The 22,031-nt window shown below is 38.7% G+C and overlaps 1 protein-coding gene across 11 annotated transcripts in view; it reads left to right on the top strand.

The window, feature by feature from the left end:
- NBAS (NBAS subunit of NRZ tethering complex) overlaps positions 1-22,031 on the top strand; it is a 782,426-nt gene that overhangs the window by 272,955 nt on the left and 487,440 nt on the right. For all 11 annotated transcript variants that reach the window (XR_007076390.1, NR_052013.3, XM_017004317.2 and 8 more), the window contains 3 exons: positions 1,197-1,307; positions 11,279-11,529; positions 12,562-12,896. Coding sequence is in view for 9 of the 11 variants with exons in the window: in XM_017004317.2 (XP_016859806.1) it covers positions 1,197-1,307; positions 11,279-11,529; positions 12,562-12,896 (697 nt within the window). In the remaining 2 variants the exon portion in view is untranslated. The remainder of the gene's footprint in view (positions 1-1,196; positions 1,308-11,278; positions 11,530-12,561; positions 12,897-22,031) is intronic.

The following is a 22,031-nucleotide window of genomic DNA, read 5'->3' as shown; positions in this document are numbered from 1 at the left end:
CAGTTCACAATGGTCACTTTCCATTCTCGTGGAGCTTCATGGTCTTCTCTTTTAGCTCTACCACCGCTATATTTAATTGCTGGTTCACATTTCCTGTCTTCCACTAGGCTGTGAATTCCTCAAGAAAAATGCTTGTTTGTTTTTAGTTCCTAAGGAGCTAGCACAATACCTGGCACAGGGTAGAAAACATAGAAGTTTGTTAAGTGACTAATTGTGCTTTCTCAAATCTCTACCCCTAGACCAGGGATGCACTATCTTTTGATTGTAGGCTCTGGAGTCTAGTTCATATCTTTTCAACCGCAGCACTGTTGACGTTCTGACTGGACAGTTCTTGGCTGTGGGGGCTGCCTATGCAGATGCTCGGGATGCCCACGCTGGGTGCTCGGGATGCCCATGCGGGGCTGCCTACGCACGGTGCTCGGGCTACCTCCATGGGGTGCTCAGAATGCCCATGCAGGGATGCCTACACGGGGTGCTCAGGATGTTTATGCGGGGATGCCTACACGGGGTGCTCAGGATGTTTATGCGGGGATGCCTACACGGGGTGCTCAGGATGTTTATGCGGGGATGCCTACACGGGGTGCTCAGGATGTTTATGCGGGGATGCCTACATGGGGTGCTCAGGATGTTTATGCGGGGATGCCTACCTGGGGATTCCTGGGATGCCTATGCGGGATGTCTGCGGGTGTTCGGGATGCCTCCACGGGACTGCCTACACATGGTGCTCGGGGTGCCTACAGGGGGATGCCCACATGGGTGCTCGGGATGCCTACTGGGAGATGCCCACGCAGGGCTGCCCGGGATGCCTGTGTGGGACTGTCTATGCAGGATGCTCAGCAGCATCCCTGGCCTCTACCCATGAGATGCTAGTAGTGTAGTACATCTGCCCCTTGCCCCACTTTTTATGCTCACAATGTTTTCAGACATTGTCAAATGTCCCCTGGGGAACAAAATCATCCACAGTTGAGAACTACTGGTCTAGACAAGTCCTTAGTAAATTGTAATACACCACAGTGAAAAAGAGCATTACAATTCCTTGGAAGTACTTTTCCTGGATCACTGTGAACTGTCTTATTAAGGACCACACTGCTTGCACCTCTCTCACTGGAGAGCAGTCCTAATGAGCATTTTCGTTGCTGATTGAAGTCATGTGTTTCTCCTCTCTCCCTTCCTGGGCTTGATGGACATTTCTGCAGAACTCTAGAGGAAAGCGTCTACAGCATTGCTATTTCTCTGGCACAACGTTACAGTGTCTCCCGCTGGGAAGTTTTTATGACCCATTTGGAGTTCCTCTTCACGGACAGTGGGTAAGCACACAGTTCATATGTACGTTTGTTTCCATGTCTTTCTTTAGAGTCTATTTTTGAAGACTCTTGAAGAAGTTGTAAAGTACAATTTTAGTTTTCCTTTAATCTACAGTGGACTAGTGTCTTGGTAAGTTCTTTCCTTATACATCTTTGATACACCTTTACCATTCATTGATGTATTCATTCAAATGTTTTTACTGAAAATTTTTTGTGTACTAGACTAAGTATTAGCCACTAGGGTTACAATGATGAGCAAAAACAGGCATCCTAGCTGTCTTGGAACTTATAGCTTACAGTAGGAGACAGATGATAATTGAATAATGACATAGGCAAATGTGAAATTAAAACTGATAAGTACTGTGTAATTGAGCTCAATTGGAGGGTTTGGCATAGTTAGCAAAGGCTTTTCCCAGGAAGTAACACTTAAGCAGGACTTAAATATTGGGTTGGAATTAACGACAGAAGTAGAAGGGAAGCATTTTCTAGGTAGACAATACAGTAAGTTCAAAGGCCCTTTGATTAGGAACAAATGGACAGTGTTGGTGAGTTCCAGGGATTTGGGTGGAACATGGCGTGAGATGAGACTGGGGCAAGGCATAGGAGCCAGGCTGTACAGCAAGATTGTGGAGGCCCTAGCAAGGGCTTTTGACTTCTTCCTAAGAATAATAAATAGAAGGCTAGGATAATAGAAGGTTAGTTAAGGATTCTGGTGAACAAGGACATAATATGACCAGCTTTGCATTTTGATAAGATCACTTTGGCTACTGTGTTGAAAGATGTTAGGAAAGTTAGGGTGGACATATGTAGACCAGTTAGGGAGCTTTTATGGTAACAGACGGCATGACAAGTGACCATTGCTTGGAGAAGGGATTTGAAGTACAGAAAGGCAGGCCAGAATGGGTTTTAGAGATATTTAAAAGGTGAAATAGATAGTACTTAATATATTGGTTAATAAGGATAAACTAGATATGAGGGTGAGTAAAAGGGGAGGTGTCGCGAAGCATCCCTAGGTTCTTCCTTGTTCACTTGCCAGATGGTGGCATCACTCCGTGAGACAGGAAGCACCCAATGAAGTAAGGTATTTTGGGGGAAGTGTGAGGAAAAGGCAAGAGAGGCCAGGCGCCATGGCTCACGCCTGTAATCCCAACACTTTGGGAGGCCGCGCTGTGATAGGTAGATCACTTAAGGTCAGGAGTTTGAGACCAGCCTGGCCAACATGGAGAAACCCTGTCTCTACTAAAAATACAAAAATTAGCTGAGTATGGTGGCAGGCACCGCTGTAATCCCAGCTACTCAGGAGGTTGAGGCAAGAGAATAGCTTGAACCCAGGAGGTGGAGGTTGCAGTGAGCAGAGATCGCGCCATTGCACTCCAGCCTAGGCAACAGAGCGAGACTCTGTCTCAAAAAAAGAAAAAATAGGAAGACAAGGGAATCAGGAAGTTATCCATACTGAAACAGCCGAGAGAAAAGGCCAAGTCTGCAGTTGGATCTTACAGATCTGGGGTTCAAATGGAGCTGGAAATACTAACTTGGGAGTCATACGCACATAGATGAGAAATAGTGATGTTGTGGATATGCTTGGGGAAAGAACAGAGAATGAGGAAAGGAGAAAGCTTGAGGCAGTGCTTGAAGTCTTCCACATTTAAAATGGTAGAGGAAGAGCTGCTAACAAAAGGGTCAGAAAGAGCAGCAGGAGAGGTAGGTAAGAGGGGAAACAGGAATCTTATTTTAGGGAAGCCATGGGAAGAAAGAGTTTAAAGAAAGGGAGTGAGTATTGAGTGGGGTCAAATCCTGCTGAATGGTCAAGAAATGCTATTTTTAGCACCTTTAATTTTTATTAATCACTTAGAAATTTTAACATTTCCTTTTTAAGTATTTATTAAATTGCTACATGGAAGATAGTGTGATCTGTGATAAATATTGCATGGACGTCATTTTTGAAGCACAGTAATATGTTCAAATAAATATTTCTTATGATACACACACTGGCATTTAAAAATATCCTGGCATTTTATTAAATATCTTTTTTCTTTCATTGAATGTTACGTAAAAGGATGTTGTATCTGTACAAACAGGATGCTTCCTTGGTCTCTGAATATATTATAAATTATCAGGCAATCGAGTGATGTGCAAGGCTGTTCCTAGCATATCATTATACCTGGTAGCACTGTGATTATGCAGATGCACAGCAATTACAAAAGCAGGAAATCATTACCTCCTGGCACCATCACTTGTGAGTGGCAAAGCATTTAATATTGATTTAGTAAGTGGTGTTAGGTGCTGCCTGTTCTTTACTTAAAAGGCAGCTGTTTGCTTTACTATTTAATCTAACTTGGTAACATAGTATTAGAAATCAGCCTTGTTAATACAATAGAAATTGCCCAACATTTATTTATTGAGTGAGTGCCACTGGGAAGTTGCAAGAGAAATAATGTTGTTTGTTTTAGGGTTTTGTTTTACTATTCCTTTAAAAAGTAATTTTTTCCCCTGTGAAGTTATTATTCTCATAATTGTACATTCCCCTTCATCCTGGTTGATTTTGGAGGTATCACCTGCATCAGCACATTTGCGAATAAGTGTACACAGAGAGGGTTGGGTGAGATACCATTATATAGCAGATGAATCATAAGCCTTAAAATCAAAATAGCTAGATCAAACAAATCCTATTGGTGTCACTTCTAGGTGTGTGTCCATGGGCAAGATAATTCCCTTCTCTGAAGCTCATTTTCCTCCTCTTTAAGCAAGGAGTAATACAAATTAAATTATTTAGTGGTAAGATATCTAACCTGTAGTATCTGACATATGATCACAGCTTCATTAATGGAAGTTTTTCCTGGAATTTCACTCTTGTCAGAGATAATTCTCATGAACACATATGTTTTTGAGTTGCTGGACTCTTTTTTTTTTTTTTTCCATTTCCCGCTTTTTCTTGTTGTTGTTGTTTTAATGTCTTGCTAGTTTTAAATAGCAGTGATGGCTTTGGGTGGCCATGAATGCCTAGAATCACTTCCAACTAGCAGACACTGGCTCTCTCAGCCTCTTGGTTCCACTGGGGCATGTTGAACCCCCCAGACTCAAGGCTGATTTGTCACTCATTACAAACTTAGTAGCCATCTTCATTTCTGGCTATTCTAGACATGTTGGTGGATTTTTATAGACAATAGTAACTACCAGATTACCTGTGGCCTATTGATGACAGCATGGGTTTTGTAGTCAGATGAACTTTCAAGATCCAAATCTGCCCACAGCCACCAACCATGTAGCCTGGAGCATGTTTCTTAATCCTTTCGAGTCGCTGTTTTCTGGGTTACAGGGATCATTATCCTCACCTTAGAGGGTTGTGAAGATTAGAGAAAATCTGTGAAAAATGTATAACTGAGTGGCTCTTTTAAATTTGTATTAGTCCATTCTCACGCTGCTATGAAGAAATACCTGAGCTTGGGTAATTTATAAAGAAAAGAGGTTTAATTGACTCAGTTCCACGTGGCTGGGAAGGCCTCAGGAAACTTACAATCATGGCGAAAGACGAAGGGGAAGAAATGCACCTTCTTCACAGGGAGGCAGGAAGGAGAAGTGCAGAGCAAATGGAGAAAAGCCCCTTATACAACCATCAGATCTCATGAGAACTCACTCACTGTCGTGAGCACAGCATGGGGGTAACCACCCCCATGATTCAGTTACCTCCCACCGGGTTCCTCCCACAACACGTGGGGATTATGGGAACTATAATTCAAGATGAGATTTGGGTGGGCATGCAATCAAACTATATCAAGGCTATTATGATTATTTGTGTCATTCTTGTTAATTCTGCTGATTTGATTAGTACTTTTCAGTTTTGGACACAGGGTCATTTTGAAATGCAGAGGATGCTTCTGGCTGATATAATAGTACCACATTTATTCATCAAATATTATTATTATTACTTAGTATCTTTGTATTCCCAGCATAGTGTTAAGTGCTGAACAAGACAGACACATCCTTGCCCTAATGGAGCTTATATTCTAATAGGGAACCCTCCCCCGTCACCCTGACGCCCACAAAAGCTGCCGAAAAGCAAGTTGTATGTTGTAGTAAGTACCATAAAGGAAATGCACACGAAGTAGATGGGGAAGGCCTCTCTTGGATGTGAGGAGGAAAGAGCTGACTATTGAAGAGGAATGGAAGAAAGGGCATTCCAGGCCATCAGAAAAGAAGGGCAGGACAGTTCTTGGTGTTTTTGAGTAACTAAAGGAAGACCATTGTGGCTGGGACAGAGTAAGCAAAGGAGAACTAAATGGAGGACAGGACATGTCTTTATACTGCCAGACTCGGTAATACCTTCCATCTTTTCCCTTCTTATTTAGACAGCAGATTTCAAGGCCAAACATCCTATGCCTTGGTTTCACTCTAATATCTACTTTTTGGTCACTCAAATGGTTATACAAGTGATTTATCTTGGTTGCTAGAGATCATAATAGCACCTTCTTCAATGTTGGTGAGTTTACTGTTGTTTCCTTTAGACACATGGGGAGGGTCCCAGGTCATAGGGACTCTGAATGTGCTGTGCTGTTTTCCAGAGCTGATTTCATATTCTTTAGTAGGATTATTTTGGTCCCAGATGCAAGAATGGGTAAGAACAAGGTCTATCTGAGGAGAGATGAGTAAACTATATTGCATCTGCCTTACCTTTTCCTGAATTGAAACAGAAAATAGAATTTCTGCCTGAAGGTTACTATTGTTCACATAGGTTTGTGTCCGGGTTGCTACACTGTAAAGAATTCTAAATTCTGGCCCTTATGTCTCTTCTTTCCTTGAAGAACTCTGGCTCAGTTGAAGAGTTAGTGTGAGAGTGGTTAATAGAGAGAGAGGGAGCATCTAACCCCTATTAGTTATTAATCCCCCAGGATTTAAGGTAACTTAGATGATCAAAAGTATGTCATGACATTGAAAACTAAAACAAAAATACAAGACCAGGGGAAATATTTGTTAGAGTAGGAATGTTGAATGTCCATATTCAGGTTATAGGTCTTACACAGTTGTTAAAATTGAGCCCTAAATTTGGTTTTGCTCTTTCTTTTGGTCTAGGGGAACAGATTATTTGATTAGGACTGTGATTTGCATTGTGCCTAAGAAGAAATCTAGAAATCCTAAAAACCAGAAATACTGATTACTGCCATTATGAAAGTGGAAGTGATTCCTTCCATATATCTGTAACTTGTAACCTTCATTTTCATATTGTGATCCTTAACACTGTTTTTCTCCAAATAGTCAGAAACGCCTGATAGTGGCACAAAACATAAACAGGAAAATGCATTTTGGTATGTTTATAGCCTGTGGAAAGTGCGCAAGCTTTAAATTATGCAAACCTGCTGCAGGCTCTGGCTCTGTGACCTTCTTGTAGAATATTATTGATAGACAAGTTGTTTTATCTCTTTAAGCCTAAGTTTTCTCCTCTGCAAAATGACTATTTTCAGCCCATTTTGCAGAACTGCTGTGAGATTGAAGAGATTTATTCAGAATACCTGATATGTATTAGGTGTTAAAAAAAATAGTAGCTATTATTATTAATTCTGGGAACAGGCTAGATTTACCAGACCCATCACATGGCCCTGGCAACCTAACATTGCACATCTGATTTTTCAACAATTATTTTTCAAGTCAGTATGGGTATCAATGATAAGATATACGCTTTGTGAGAATTAAATCAGATGACATAGTGCTTAGCACTAGTAAGTTCTCTGTAAGTGGTGTCTATTACTATTTCTATGCTATAGTGTTTCTTAAAACTGTTTTTGTTGGCAAGGTAGTAATATGAAGTATATAAACAAGTCAGAATTGACATTCTATGAGAAATTAAAAGGCTTTAGGGATACCAGGTTGTCCTTATAGAAGAGACAAAGCCTATTCATATGGCCTTCAACATTCTCACTCTGTTCCTGTCATAAAACATTCCATAAAGGAACTCACTGAATATCAGCATGATGAGAAATAGACTCTAAGACACTCTTTATTGATTCTCTCATCAACTCCCTGGGTGTTCTTGAAAAGTTAGTTAAATTCCATTCTTCAGTTTGCAGACACTTGGCCAGAATGTTGGCAAAACTAAAAAATGCCATGATTATCTTGACCACGTTTTCCTTGAGAAATCACGTATTCAGCTGTCAGGCTGCATTATAGATCAAGTCTGCTACATCAAGGTCATCCTGAGGCATTTATGTGCTAAGATGTTGGATTGACTTCCTCAGGCAGGAGCAGTTGTGATTTGGAGGGTAGATTGTCTTGTTGCTCAGTAGTCAATGGTGAGGCCACTGTTCACCAGCAGTGATGATCATTCACGTTGATTCATAGATCTTCATGCTCTTAGGGTTAGCCTTTGGGGAAAATGCTTACAAGCCACTGCAGCTGAACTGTACCCAACATAAAATTTCAACGTGAAAATATCAGCTTCATTGCTTTATTGAGTAGAAGCAGAAAGCCGAACTTGAAAGACTCAACTCAGAATCAGTCTCCATCTCTTACTAGTTGTGTGATTTTTGTCTGAGCCTCAGCTTCCTTCAGATAATAGGAATAATTAGACCTTTTGCAGAGGGTTATTATGAGTGTTAATGAGCTAATAGCAACAAGAGTGCTGGCAGGTTATGTGTACATTTTCACTTCCAGCCCTTCCCCATCCTCTTTATTCTCTCTTCCCCCTCTCCCGGCAGCCTTCTCCCTTCTCCCATTCACCTTCTTCCTTCTTGCCTCCTCCTTCCTCTTTCCTTCTAAGCACTCCTTTCAGTGAGCTAATGAAATTTTATAATCACTCCATCTCAGCTGAGTAAAGAAAAATGTATTTAAATAAATTTGTTTTTCTTACACAAATAAAAGTCCTTTCAATACATGATGTTCTTGAATCACATTTTTGGGTGACTGACATCTGGAAGCCATTACAGAACACCTTAATCATGAGATTAGTATGAATAATTTATTTCTGTGCATTGAGTGCAACTAATGCTGGCTTCTTCTGTTAGTTAATCTCTGAAAGTTAAATATGCACTATGTATATAAGCTGCTTTATAACTAAAACTTGGTTCAGGAAAAATCACTTAAACAGGTTTGAAGGGTAATCATTAATTTGATTAGTGAAAAGTCCACAGTGGTTTCATGGTATTTCTTTCTACTCTCTTGAATATGGGTTCTTTGGAATTTTTTTCTAAACAAAGATTTCAAAGAAAGATTTCCCTTTTCTGGTTCCAAAGGGAAGATAACAGCTTCTTTCTTCAGAATGGAAACTATTAAAATGAGCTATTGATTACTAGCATCTATAAAAGATCTTAGCACCTTGTAATTTACTGAAAAGGGAGGTTTGGGTATTTATCATGAGTCAGTAAAGGTATTCCAGTATCTGTCTTGACAAGATAATTGGGTAAAATTGCACAGCAGGCAAACTAAATTGTAGGCACAGAAGAATAAGTGAGTGGGCAAGAGGGAAAGTAATGTTGATTGAGAGAGACTATATTCATAATCAAGTCAAACATAGATGAACTAAAGCTGTTATGATATAGTCATTGTCCATTTTGTAGATGAGTCTGTCTTGAATACTTTGTTTATCAAGGTGTTACGAATGAAGTATGACAGGAGAACTCTTTTCGATTATTGCTGCTGGGAGAGAGAACTCATATCTGTGTTGCAGAAAGAATCCTGGTTTTGAAGTGGTTGTTGATATGGGTGCTTGACCTTGATGGTTGCTTTGTGATGTCCTGAGCAGTTGTGTACTTTGAGTCCAGACAGATCTGGACTCTTTATCTTAAACAAGTCATATAACCTCTCTGAATGGCAATTTATCATCTATAAGTTGATAATTACCCAACTTTAACTTAGCAAGAAAGTAATCAGCATGATAAATACAAATTTGTTTTCTTTCCTCCTTTTGGCATGTTGTTCTGCCTGCAAATCTTTGTCAATAAGATTCCTTTTATTGCGACTACACAGTTTCTTATTTACTTCCTTACTACATTGTTTTTAGACTTCATTTTGCAAATTATGAAGGAACATCAGAAATTCTGTGATTCACTGTCCCATACTACTGTGTGTACACTGTCTTTCAGAGATGATGGTATTCGTTGAATAGTGATATTATCAAGTATATTTTCTGACCACCCAGCCATTTATATTCACTGTTCCTTGTACAGGCGTTTTGCTTTCTTGATACTTTTGTTCACATTATTTCTGCTTCACTCCTTCCTGCCAAATTCAAGTGCTTCTTTCACTAAGCCTTCCATTATCATTGATTTCTACATCTTCTGCAGGCATAGCTTTTAGTGATCCTTCTCTTAATTGGACTATAATTTTGTGCCCTTTGTCAGGTGATACTATTGTTTTGCATCATTATTTAACTGTAAGTATTTGTAACTCAACTGGATTTTCAAATTTGGATGGGAGCTCTATGCTGTAAGTCTTTATATCCTCCCCAGTGGTGAGCACAGTGCCTTGTACATAGAGGACACCTAATTTTTTGCTCATCCACTCATCTATTTGGCGTTCATAATACATATATTGAATGTTTCCTTTGTGCCACACTCTGGTTCTTGGTATTGAGAAACTAGAGATTAAGATGATGTAATAAGGTCTGTGCCATCAAGCAGCACAGTCTAGGAAGGAAGATAGACAAGGTAATAAGTACTTAAAATACGTTACGAATAACAGAATAGAAGGATATTCAGCATGTGCCAATAGAGGAGGCAGTGAGAGAAATTTTTATAGACTGGGGACATATTTATAGATAGAGATATTCTTGTAAATGTTTGCACTGTGTCTTAATGGAAAAATAAGGTTTTTCTTGAAGCAAAAGTAAAAAGACCAGTTTTTAAAAATTACTTGATGCTTTGACTTTGTAGATTACCCTTTTTAACCCAAGTGTTGTCACATTCCCCTGAAAGTTTTAAAACATGATTTATACTAACTTTATCTACATAAACCAAAAACATGTCTTTGGGCACTTTCAGTAAACAAGTTGTCATGTTTCAGAGGAGCTGCTTTAGAACTTTTTGAAGCCTAACTTTGTTGCTGCCCAAGGTCTCACTTACTGCCCCCAGATGCTTCTGTTGCTGCTTCCGAGAACCCTAGAACCTGGGTACTTCTGTGAATGCAGGGCTGCCTGAAGGACTCTTACAATTAGGGAGTATGAAACTCATCACGTAAGGGGCATTGAGATTACACTAGACCACAGGCTCTGTCCAGATTCTGTCCAGGGAGAAGCACAAGACCAAAATTAACCCCCTCCTTTCCCCTTCTAAAAGCACAAACCAATCAACCAAGCAAAAATACCTTACTTTTTCTTTTCCCAAGAGTTTAAGTGACTTTTTAAAATTAGATTACAAAGACATCTAAGTTAGGATGAAAATATTAAGATATGTGTTTTATTTAAGTAGCATTACTGCAGATAACCCAAGTGAAAGTTTAATTATCCCTCTTTTTCTATTTTTCTTTTATCTGGACACAGCATAAAATTTGGGTTTATTGAATATTAATTCAAGACTCTTGCATGTAAATCTTAAGCCTGAAAGTTTAGGGTTTTTTCTGTATCATTTCCTAAATTCCTGAAATAATAAGGCTGTTTATGTTTCTGTGAAGAAGTATAGATTTTTAAACCCTTTTTATGAATGAATAAATGATTAAGAGTGGACGCTGACAGATGTTGGTTTATTTTCTAGCTGGGAGACATCAGACAGCTCTCCCAACTGCAGGAACTTGAAGTTAAAGCTACTTCACAGGGTTGCTGTAGACCCCCGTGAGATAACATGACGAGTGTGTAGTCAGTTAAATGTTAGTAGGCATCTAACACATTTGTTTTCCTTTATTCAGGCTGACTGGCTTCTGGTGGTGGTTTACTGTCTTTGAGTAGGCAGGAAGAAGGGAGCTATAAGAAGTAGTGTTTCTTCCTTGGTTAAAAAAAAAATCACTTTAATAAAGGAACAAAATCTTAACACAGTTCCTTTGGCTCTTAATTTCAGTTTGTCCACACTAGAAATTGAAAATAGAGCCCAAGACCTTCATCTCTTTGAGACTTTGAAGACTGATCCAGAAGCCTTTCACCAGCACATGGTCAAGTATATTTACCCTACTATTGGTGGCTTTGATCACGAAAGGCTGCAGTATTATTTCACTCTTCTGGAAAACTGTGGCTGTGCAGATTTGGGGAACTGTGCCATTAAACCAGAAACCCACATTCGACTGCTGAAGAAGTTTAAGGTTGTTGCATCAGGTAGGATGGTTGTTTCCCTGCTTGAATTCATTCTTTTCAATTAAATCTGGGGATTAATTTTCTGTACACAATCCTGTTCATGCATTATGGTTGCAGAGCTCTGAAACCACAGAATTTTGAAGCTAATCGACTTTAGTTATTATCTTTCCAACTCTTTCACTTATAGTTGAGGGAATTAAATACCAGAAAAAGTAAGAAACCTATTGAAAGTCGCACAGTGACTTATGGTAGACTTGGTACTAAAATCCAAAGTTTTGGACTTCTGCTCCAGGATTTTTTCACTACTCCCATTGATTATATTTTATGTATATAAATGGCAAGGCCAAGACACTTTATAATAGGCAGTTGAGCAGAATTTCATTCCACTGGAGCCTATATGTTTAAAATATGCATGGAACACTTAAGAGCCTTTGAATATTTGATAAATTATGGAAATCTTTAGAATGGTCTTTATGCTCATAACTAAGAAATTAAACACTTTAAGACCTCTTAATTTTTATACTTCATAATTTGCAAGGCACATTCAAATCTGTTTGTTTGATATTCATAATAATTGTGAGAGTTCCCATCAGTTTATCAGTTGTTTTCTGAATAATCAAATGAGACACTGGCCTAGACACAGAGGATAAGGGAATAAGATTCAATCCTTGCCTTCAAGTAACTAGTGAAATGCCAGATAAATAACAAAGAAATGTAATGCAGTTTGTTGAAGCACTGATAGAAGAAAACATAGGTGCTGCGGCGGATTCGAAAGGCATGGAGATATTGTCATCTCTAGGGTACAAACAAGGAGATGGAGGCACACAGAAGATGAATGGCCTATCTGGGATCACAAAGCCGAATAAGTTTCAGGCTGTGACTGGAACTCAGATCTCCTGATCTTTCTAATAGAAAATATAAACTAGCTACTTAGAGCTAAGTTGATAGATCTTTGCGTTCAGACATATAGAGGGCTATGTGTGTGTGTTTGAAAGTGACTCTATGTTTACATTGGAATGAACCACTTACCTACTTTCTTTTTTTTTCTGCTAGGTCTTAATTACAAAAAGCTGACAGATGAAAACATGAGTCCTCTTGAAGCATTGGAGCCAGTTCTTTCAAGTCAAAATATCTTGTCTATTTCCAAACTTGTTCCCAAAATCCCTGAAAAGGATGGACAGATGCTTTCCCCAAGCTCTCTGTACACCATCTGGTTACAGAAGTTGTTCTGGACTGGAGACCCTCATCTCATTAAACAAGTCCCAGGCTCTTCACCGGAGTGGCTTCATGCCTATGATGTCTGCATGAAGTACTTTGATCGTCTCCACCCAGGTGACCTCATCACTGTGGTAGATGCAGTTACATTTTCTCCAAAAGCTGTGACCAAGGTAAACAAAAAGATATTTTAAAGTGGTTTGAGCACAGTAGAAGAAATGAAAATTTCTCCTACATTCTGTAGATTTTATTTTTGTTTCCTTTCTTGAAAATAATTACATGTTGGCTTTTTAAAAAGTTTTTGTTCATTTGCTGTGAATGAGGTGTTTTAATTAGGAAATTTTTTTTCTCTATTGTAGATGTACAAATATGCTAAAATAGAGATGACTATTCTCATTTACACGTATACTTAGTACATGTTACAGTTCTCATGTCACTTTATAGTAAATATGCCATTCTGTTCTTTCCAGTTGACAAATGTAAAGGAGCTCCAGTGCCCAGCCCAGATTACCTGCATTCGGAAACCAGGCTAACAACTTAGCTTGGGTTAGCCTGAGTCTTTAAAAAAGTTATTGGCCGGGCATAGCGGCTCAAGCCTGTAATCCCAGCACTTTGGGAGGCCAAGGCAGGCAGATTACCTGAGATCAGGAGTTTGAGACCAGCCTGGCCAATATGGTGAAATCCCATCTCTACTAGAAGAAAAAAAAAAACCAAAAAAAAAAAAATTACCTGGGTGTGGTGGTATGCACCTGTAGTCCCAGCTACTCGGGAGGCTGAGGCAGGAGAATTGCTTGAACCTACGAAACGGAGGTTGGAGTGAGCTGAGATCATGCCACTGCACTCCAGCCTGGGTGACAGAGTGAGACTCTGTCTCAAAATAATAACATAAAAAAATAAAAAAGATGTTATTCATATCATGCAGTATATATCTTGGTGATAGAATTATTGAAGAGAGTGCATATTGCATTTTCTGATGTCTCCTCCATCAGTTTGGCCTCCTTTGACTGCACTCAATCCCTCAGCAATGTGTAGCCTCACTCAGAATAGATAATGTGGGTTCTCCTCCTCCCCTTTCCTGCCCCCTCACCTAGACACCGCTGCTAAACAAATGGACATTTTTCACTACTTGGACTCTGGGCATTCTCTCTCCTGGAAAATCTTAGCATTTGGACTCAACTGCTGAACTCTGTTGCCTTTGGAGCTCCTGTTTAATCTTCTCTCTTGCCATCTTTGCTGTTGCCTTCTCCTTCCGTGCAAGTCACCAGGTCTGCCCAGTACCCTATCGCAAAGATTGTTATTTTAGTTAGTATTATCCTGGAAATAGACTGTAAAGGCCAAGAATTGCAAATCATTCATTTGGAGGTTGGCACAGGCAGAGGTTCCAACTTCTGTGAAGAATGCTAGTTTTAACCAAATCACTAGATTAGTAGTTGTGGATAACCAAGTACTTCTTTATTTTCTTATTATTGCAACCCTAGTAATATATCTTGGTTTTAAATTTTACAACCACTGCTATAAAAAGGAGTAATCATGTTTTTTGTTTTTAAAGAGAAAAATAAGGATGATTTTTTTTTTTTGAGACGGAGTCTCGCTCTGTCCCCCAGGCTGGAGTGCAGTGGCATGATCTTGGCTCACTGCAAGCTCTGCCTCCTGGGTTCATGCCATTCTCCTGCTAGGAGGCTGAGTAGCTGGGACTACAGGAGCCCGCCACCATGCCTGGCTAATTTTTTTTTTTTTGTATTTTTAGTAGAGATGAGGTTTCACCATGTTAGCCAGGATGGTCTCGATCTCCTGACGTCGTGATCCACCCACCTCAGCCTCCCAAAGTGCTGGGATTACAGATGTGAGCCACTGCACCCGGCCAATAAGGGTGATTTTAAAAGACAAGAGCATAATGTATTTGAAAAGAATGTGTTTGGAGACATATAAACCTGGCTTTGAACTCTGAACCTATCACTTATCAGCTGTGTGGTTTAGCTTCAGGTATCTCTCTTAGACTTCTGCTTCCTTGAGACAGAGGTTGTGGCTGAGTAATCTGTGAGGGAGATAATATTATTACCCTAGTTTTATAGATGAGCAAACTGAGGCTTAGCAAAGTTAAGTTGGTAATAGAGAACTCAATTTGAACTCATGGAGATTTATCCCCTGGCCTTTTCTCTTAACCATTGAACTGTGCTATCTCTAAGAAGTCATAGAACAAGCAACTAGAGTCAGGGGACCTGGAACCATTTGAGAAACTGTGGGAGAGCAGTGGAACCAGAGAGCCCTGAGCATTTTTAGCCCAGTAGGAGCAGCATGTCCTGGGATTTGTCCAGAGCAGGGCTGAATCTAAATGAGAAAGTCCAGGCAGGAACCTGGTTGTATATGGGAAGGAACTGATCCAAGTTGGGAGTTTAAAATCCAAGGAACCAGCTCAGATCTGAGACTTGTGAACTAACCTTCGGGGCTAACAGGCCAGCAGGTCAGCCAGGATGGTGAGGGTGACTTTGCTCCCAGGCAGTTTTCCACTCCACCCTCAGGCTGGAGGTTGTTTTAAATATTTTATGTGAGGGAAGAAAGGGAAGCCAGCATGATCATCTGGGGCTGTCTGCTAATCGTGAGCGTGTGTGTAGAGGGGACAGAGAGTTTTAGACTTGGCAACAGCAATCTTTTATTTATGATTAAGTATAAGAGTAGGATGTAAAGTCCATTTGCGTTTTAGCTGTTATTTACCATGCTTTAAGTTAGGTGATTTTAAATTATTCACATTAAATTATTCACATTCTCATCGCTTTAGTTTCTTAACCTTATACTTCTTTCAAGATGTCCGCCAACCCCTGAAAATATGTGGCACAGTTGTTGGTGCACATATGTGTATTTTGTTGGGTTAGAGGTGCACCTGACTCAGTAAAGATTCAGTCTGCTAATTACTGTATTGCTTTCTCTTAGCTCAGATGGTATAATGCAAGCATATATATTTCTTCATTGTAAACTGTTCTCAAGAGGCGATTTTCTACTGATTCAAGTAAATTATAGAGAGGTGAGACAGATACATTTAAAATTTACATCTTTAGTCTAACCACAACATTTTTTCTCATATTAATCAGCAAGCTTTTAATTTTTAGTTCAGAAAGGAGAAGTATAAAGTTGGAAAAAATGCATGTTTGAAAGCACACAATGCTGCCCTATATAGATAGAGAGAGAGAGAGTATAAAAATCAAAATGAAACACAACCTGCAAATGTCAGAGAACATATTTGGAAGAGGAAATGCAGCTGGATTTGCCCAAATTTGCAAAACACCAGATGTTCCCACAGCTTGTACATGATGTTAAAAATGTAAAATAAATGTGTACTATTCATACACAGTGTGCAGTTTTCAAATGTGTACCCACATTTAATTTAGAAAGAAATTTTTGGAAAGAACTGGTAAGCTAATTCTCGAGTGCATAACAAGAACAATAAGCAATTGTTCAGATACTAGAATTCAGAAAGGAATATTCCCAAGGCCTGAACTGAGTGCCCAATCCACTGGTAAAACATACCAGAGAAGGCTCTTCACTTTCATGGTAACAGTCATTCCATTGCCATTTACATTTGCAGAATTCCTAGAATCTCTGGGGAAAATATTTACAAATAGTATTATGTCCTGCAGTCAGAGAGTGAATTTGTGTGCCATTTGAGATGATTAATATGCAGAAGGAAAAAGGAAGCAAATGTTTAAAGTGTATTTGTACCAAATCTAAATGCTTTTTTTTGTTGTTGTTGTTGTTGAATCAGATTAGAGTTGCTCCTCTATTGCTTGTCAATTCAGCTGTTATAAGCATTTTTATAGAAGGGACAGAGAACAAGTGAATGGGTTAGAAATCCAGGAAAATGGTTGTAAAAGAGGCTGAAAGGCAGGTCAGAACACAATTTGCTTGGTATTAGGTGGTTAGTAATGGGGAGCATATGTATAATCTTAGCCTTTGTGTTTTATACTTTCCACTTGCTGTCAATAGCTAGTACTGCTACATCCATAGATAAATGCATGGCAAATACTTCTCTCTCATATGAAATGCTGTCAAGAAGTTTGCCAGGATCCTTCTTTAAAAATTCCCAGGTAATCATACAGTTTAAAAAGTCCTTCTGGTACCTTGCCCAGTGTTACTCAACCTGGAATTAGATAGGTATTTACCCACTCCCCTTTCCCCCACCTTGCACGTGCTGCCTTTCCAACTCCCACCGTTTGTGATTCATTGCCATCGTAAACCACTGCTTCTAATGGGAAACATGTTGTCTCCTTTGGATTGTAGCAGAAAAATTATTGAGAACCTCTTATCTAGCCTACTTTCTAACCTTCAAACTCATTTCTATTGATAATTAAGCCAGTATCCCTGCTTACTTGCTTTATTTATTTAATAAAAGGTATCTTTTGCCTAATTTTGATCTCCACTGTTTGGTTCTGCCTCCTGGAGTTATGAAAACAGCATAAGAGTATCTTTGTTTGCTGTTCAGATTCTCTAAATAAGCCACCGTTTCCTCCTTTATCCTATTATTCAGCCTGTTGGCATAAAAATCTGGTAGAATAAATTAATCTTAAAAAGCATAATTTGACCAAAAAGTGAAATCTATAGTATAAGTTTAAGTCTTGATCAAAAGGTTGCATTGTAGCTGTAACTTCAGGGTCTCTATATTGCCAATACTATCTTTTAACTAAGGATGGCAGTACCTCTTTCACCATGAGTAATCAGTGTCTGAAACTGACATTAAAATGTTTATTTAATGTATATTATGATTTTCTGATGCCATATGTCAGATTCAGAGTGAATCATGAAGTATTTAGGCATTTGCTATGTGCCATATATGGTATTATTTTCCATAGGAGACATTAAGCTATGAAAGACATGTTTATAAGAAACATGAAATGAAGGTTTTTAAAAATTATACAGTAAAAGAATTTTTAAGTTATGTTAATTGAGAAGTACATTGCCAATGAAATTGGAAATTTTTGAGGACAGGGATGGTGCCTTTTATCTCTTATTTCCTATGTCCTAGCACAGTATAAAGTAGGTACTTTATACTTAAGTGGTTGATTAAATAATTATAGATTGGTCATTCTCAAAACTTTTGATCTCAGGATGCTTTAATATTCTTAAGAATTATTGAGGATTCTAAAGAGTTTTTGTTTATGAAGGTTATATCTAATAATATTTATCATATTAGAAGTTAAAGACAGGCTGGGCATGGTGGCTCATGCCTGTAATCCCAGCACTTTGGGAGCCCAAGGTGGGTGGATCTCGAGGTCAGGAGATTGAGACCATCCTGGCTACCACGGTGAAACCCCGTCTCTACTAAAAATACAAAAATTAGCTGGGCATGATGGCGCATGCCTGTAATCCCAGCCACTCGGGAGGCTGAGGCAGGAGAATCACTTGAACCAGGGAGTCGGAGGCTGCACTGACCCGAGATCGTGCCACGACAGAGAGAGACTCTGTCTAAAACAAAAAAAATTAAAGACAAAATTTTAAACTTAATTTATTTTAAAATACCAATAATAGACCCATTATAGGTTGACATGAATAGCATATTTAATGAAAAACAACTATATCTCCAAGACAGAAAATAATTGAAAAACAGCACTGTGTTACATTTTCATGTCCGGCTTAATAGAACACAGCTGGATTCTCATGTTAGTTTCTGCATTCAGTCTGTTGTTGTTTTGGTTGCAGTAGGTGAAGAAAATCCAGCCTTACACAGATAAGAGGTTGGAAAAGGGAGAGATATTTTAATAGCCTATAATTTGGAGTATTCTTCTTTGATACTACACTGAAACTCAACATGTGATAAAGTCTTAAAGACTAGTTGCAGTGTGAAATACAAAGCCATATTATTGAACTTTTTGTACCCTGTCGCATTAAAACTGTTGGTCTAGGTTGCACTTGAATGGATTTATTTCCCAGGTATGATTTTGTAATATAATTGCATGAAGGCATTTAGAAGTTTCAGTTCCCTGAGTTATATAGATGATCCAAATGTTGATAGATTGCATCAGAGAATATTTTAAAAAATCTCATTCATTAATATGAGCACTTAGCAGCTAAGTCTGTAAGTATTGGGAAGCTGTCAGCCTTACAGTGGTGGATCCAAGTTTTCCAAAATTTGAATTTTTGCTTGAAAGTTCCAATTTTATCATGACAACAAATTCTGTGTTGTTTTTCTTGAAGTCACAGTCTCGCTTTGTTCACTTGGAAGAAAATGTAAGCAAAAGTAGCCCGGCATGCAAAAAGCAGCAACTTCAGCTCACAATTCAAATAGGCAACCCTGTCTCAATCAATCAATCAATAAAATAAAAATTTTTAAATAGTCTCCCATCAGGATGTTAACTGAGGCATATGTCTACCATGGAGGAAAGACAATGTATCCGTCCATCCATACTGCCTCCTCTGGCAGAGACTGATATGTTTCACATATCCCTGCCCGTGGTCACTCTGCCTTCCTGATTTCCATTTCCCCACTGAAGCCCCGTGTTCCTCTCAGTTAAGTGTCCAGTGGCTGTCACTGTCTTTTTGCTGGGGAATCTCACTTGACTCAGAAACCTGCTTCCCAGGCAGGTTTCCCACTCATGTGCCACTTTTGTTTCAGCTGAGAACCACCCAGGGCAGAACTCTCCACTGAAATCTTAGAAGCTTTTGAAACTTAAACCCCTAAGGACCTAGAGAAGACCACTTTCTTTGCTGCGTGCTTCTCCCTGAATTTTGTGCTTGTGCTACTTCCAGGGGAGCAGAAATATTTCTATCATGCCTTCGGGTTTTAATCAGGAAAAAGTAATAAATAATTGTCATTGTCCATTCTCAAGTTGCAATCAGTTAAGAGACAGAGGAATCAGGTACCACAGAAAGGAAAATACCAGCTTTATTGTTGGTAGAATTGGCCTGGAGACTGTGGCTTTGTTTTCCATGTCAGTTTTCTGCTATTTTTGTCCTCCTATACTACTCCCTGCACTCAATCTTCAGACAGCCCTGGAAGGACAGTCAGTTCTGCAGAGCATACATGCTTTGTCAGAAGGTCTGCCTCCTATTTGTGGGCTCCAGCGAGGTGGCCCCCAGATTAGTGCTGTCCAGCAGAACTATCATGTGTGCCACATGTGGAGGCTGAAATTTTCTAATAGCCACATTTTAAAAAATCAAACAAATTAGGTAAAATTGTCCTAAGTATTACCATTTTATCATGTGATCAATATAAAAATGACAGTGAGATCTTTTGCCTTTTTAAAAAAACCACGCCTTTGAAATGCAGTGTGTATTTCAGCACACATCAACTCAGGCTAGTCACTCTCAGAGCCTCCGTAACCATTGTTGGACGGATATACTTCTCTGCAGCAAACGTCTGGTCCTGACCCACAGATGTTTACCACTGGGAAAACAACAATACCAGAAGAGTGTATCAATTGTTTCTCCCCACTTCACTTATCAGATGCCACTCCTTCTCTCCTCAGAAATGGGAGAGTGAAGAGTACTTGACATCTTGGGACTCATAGCGGGAGCTTCCTGCTTTATGGGCCAAGGTAGGAACTTGAAAGATGGAGAAAATAGTTCCTTCTACACATATCCAACCAAATGTCTAGCTAACAATAAATTATAAAACCTTAGAGGTTATCTGTCTTTTACAGAAATCACTATACATTTTATGCACTATAATAGTACATCTTTTGGAGCCAAACCTCACATATAATAAGATTTTAGAGACTTTATAGGCTTAATAATACTTTATAAAAGTACTGTCATTAAGGCCAAAGTGGAAAAATGGGAAACAATTATTGAAAAATATTTGTCAAAGTGAAGTGTACTGTCATATGTACATACATATTTTTGTTTGTTTATAAGTAAGTTAATTTTACTTTATTCAAGATATAACACTTTAAAGCTGAATAAAATACATGTATGTGTAATTATTTGCCTTTTCCAGTGTCTAGAGGTTTATATATTTATATTAAATTACATTGACCTTTATAATTTTTGGTATATACATTACATCTTTGAATGAAGATCTTGTGATCTTTTTCGTAAGTTTTTAAATAGGAAAGATATATATCTAATGCATATTTGTCTTAAAGACACTGCATTTGCGAAGCTTCTATTCCTAAGCAGAAAGTGGTATACTCATTTTTTTAACCTTCTCCCCCACTAAATTTTATAGTTATTGTTGTTGCTAATCTATAATCATACTGAACTCAACTATAAAAGTGTTATATAATGTTTTCTCAGGGTTAGAGAACACAAACTGTTTATTCAAACTTTTTTTTTGATCAAAATAAGTATTTTGCCCATTGATCTCTGGCTTTGGTCTAGTTGTTTGACTCCTTTGATTCTGGCCTGAATAAGGTTATTTGTTCCAAATACTTTCAGGAAATGTTTAGTCACTATTCTGCATGCTGTAGACAAATAAAAGATTGCCATGGCCCTTGCCTTTGCGAAGCTCATAGTTTATTGAAGCATATGTGTGCATGCATGCATGCATATTGAATGAACTATAAGATAAGAAATACTATTTAAGTATATTAATAAATGCCATGTGTACAAAGAAGAGATAATATTTACTGAATGTCAAGAAATAGCTTCTGGGTATAGTTTGATTTGGTATATATTAAAATTGATATGGCTTTTTGTAAGATGTCATTGTGGGAAAAGCTGGGTGATAGATAGCTACACAGGATCTCTCTGTACTATTTTGCAACTTGTTTTAGATCTATAATTATTTCAAAATAGTTTTTTAAAAGATTGATATGGCTTTCAAACATCCAAGTTGAGCTGTGGACAGCTATCTATATGAATTTAGAGTGTATTAGAGAGGTAGGGACTAGAAATACATTTGGGAATTCTCAGTGCATAAAGAGGAGTCACAACTAGGAGGCTCGGTAAAATCCTTAAGTAAGTAAGTAGGTAGAGAAGGAAGGAGGAGAGAGAATGAAGCCCTAGGACCCTACAATATTAAGAATTGAGGATGAGGGGAAACCAACAAACACTGACAAGCAATCTTGAAATCAAGAAATTCTACCCTTTCCTTCATATATCATCATTTTTTTCATTATTACATATTTTCCTTTAATAAATATTATATTTTTTAAATCTTCAGTGTTTCTGTCATAATGGGTGAGAGTGGATGAGACCTGGAATCCAGGTGGAACAATTCACCTTGGATAGGATCCTGTCGGTTTCTCCCAATAGCAGGAGAGATTTGAGGAGAGAAGAGAGGGTAAGGTACAAAGTAGTGTTTTAGGAGACTGGGAAAGCAGACAGACAAGAAAAATGTAGTAAGATTACTGGGGCCCCTTAAGGGCATCCTAATGAGT

This window comes from Homo sapiens, chromosome 2, assembly GCF_000001405.40.
Source record: "Homo sapiens chromosome 2, GRCh38.p14 Primary Assembly".
NCBI classification, from domain to species: Eukaryota; Metazoa; Chordata; class Mammalia; order Primates; family Hominidae; genus Homo; species Homo sapiens.
The sequence above is the reverse complement of the archived record's forward strand: the minus strand, read 5'-3'. Positions and strand labels throughout refer to the sequence as shown.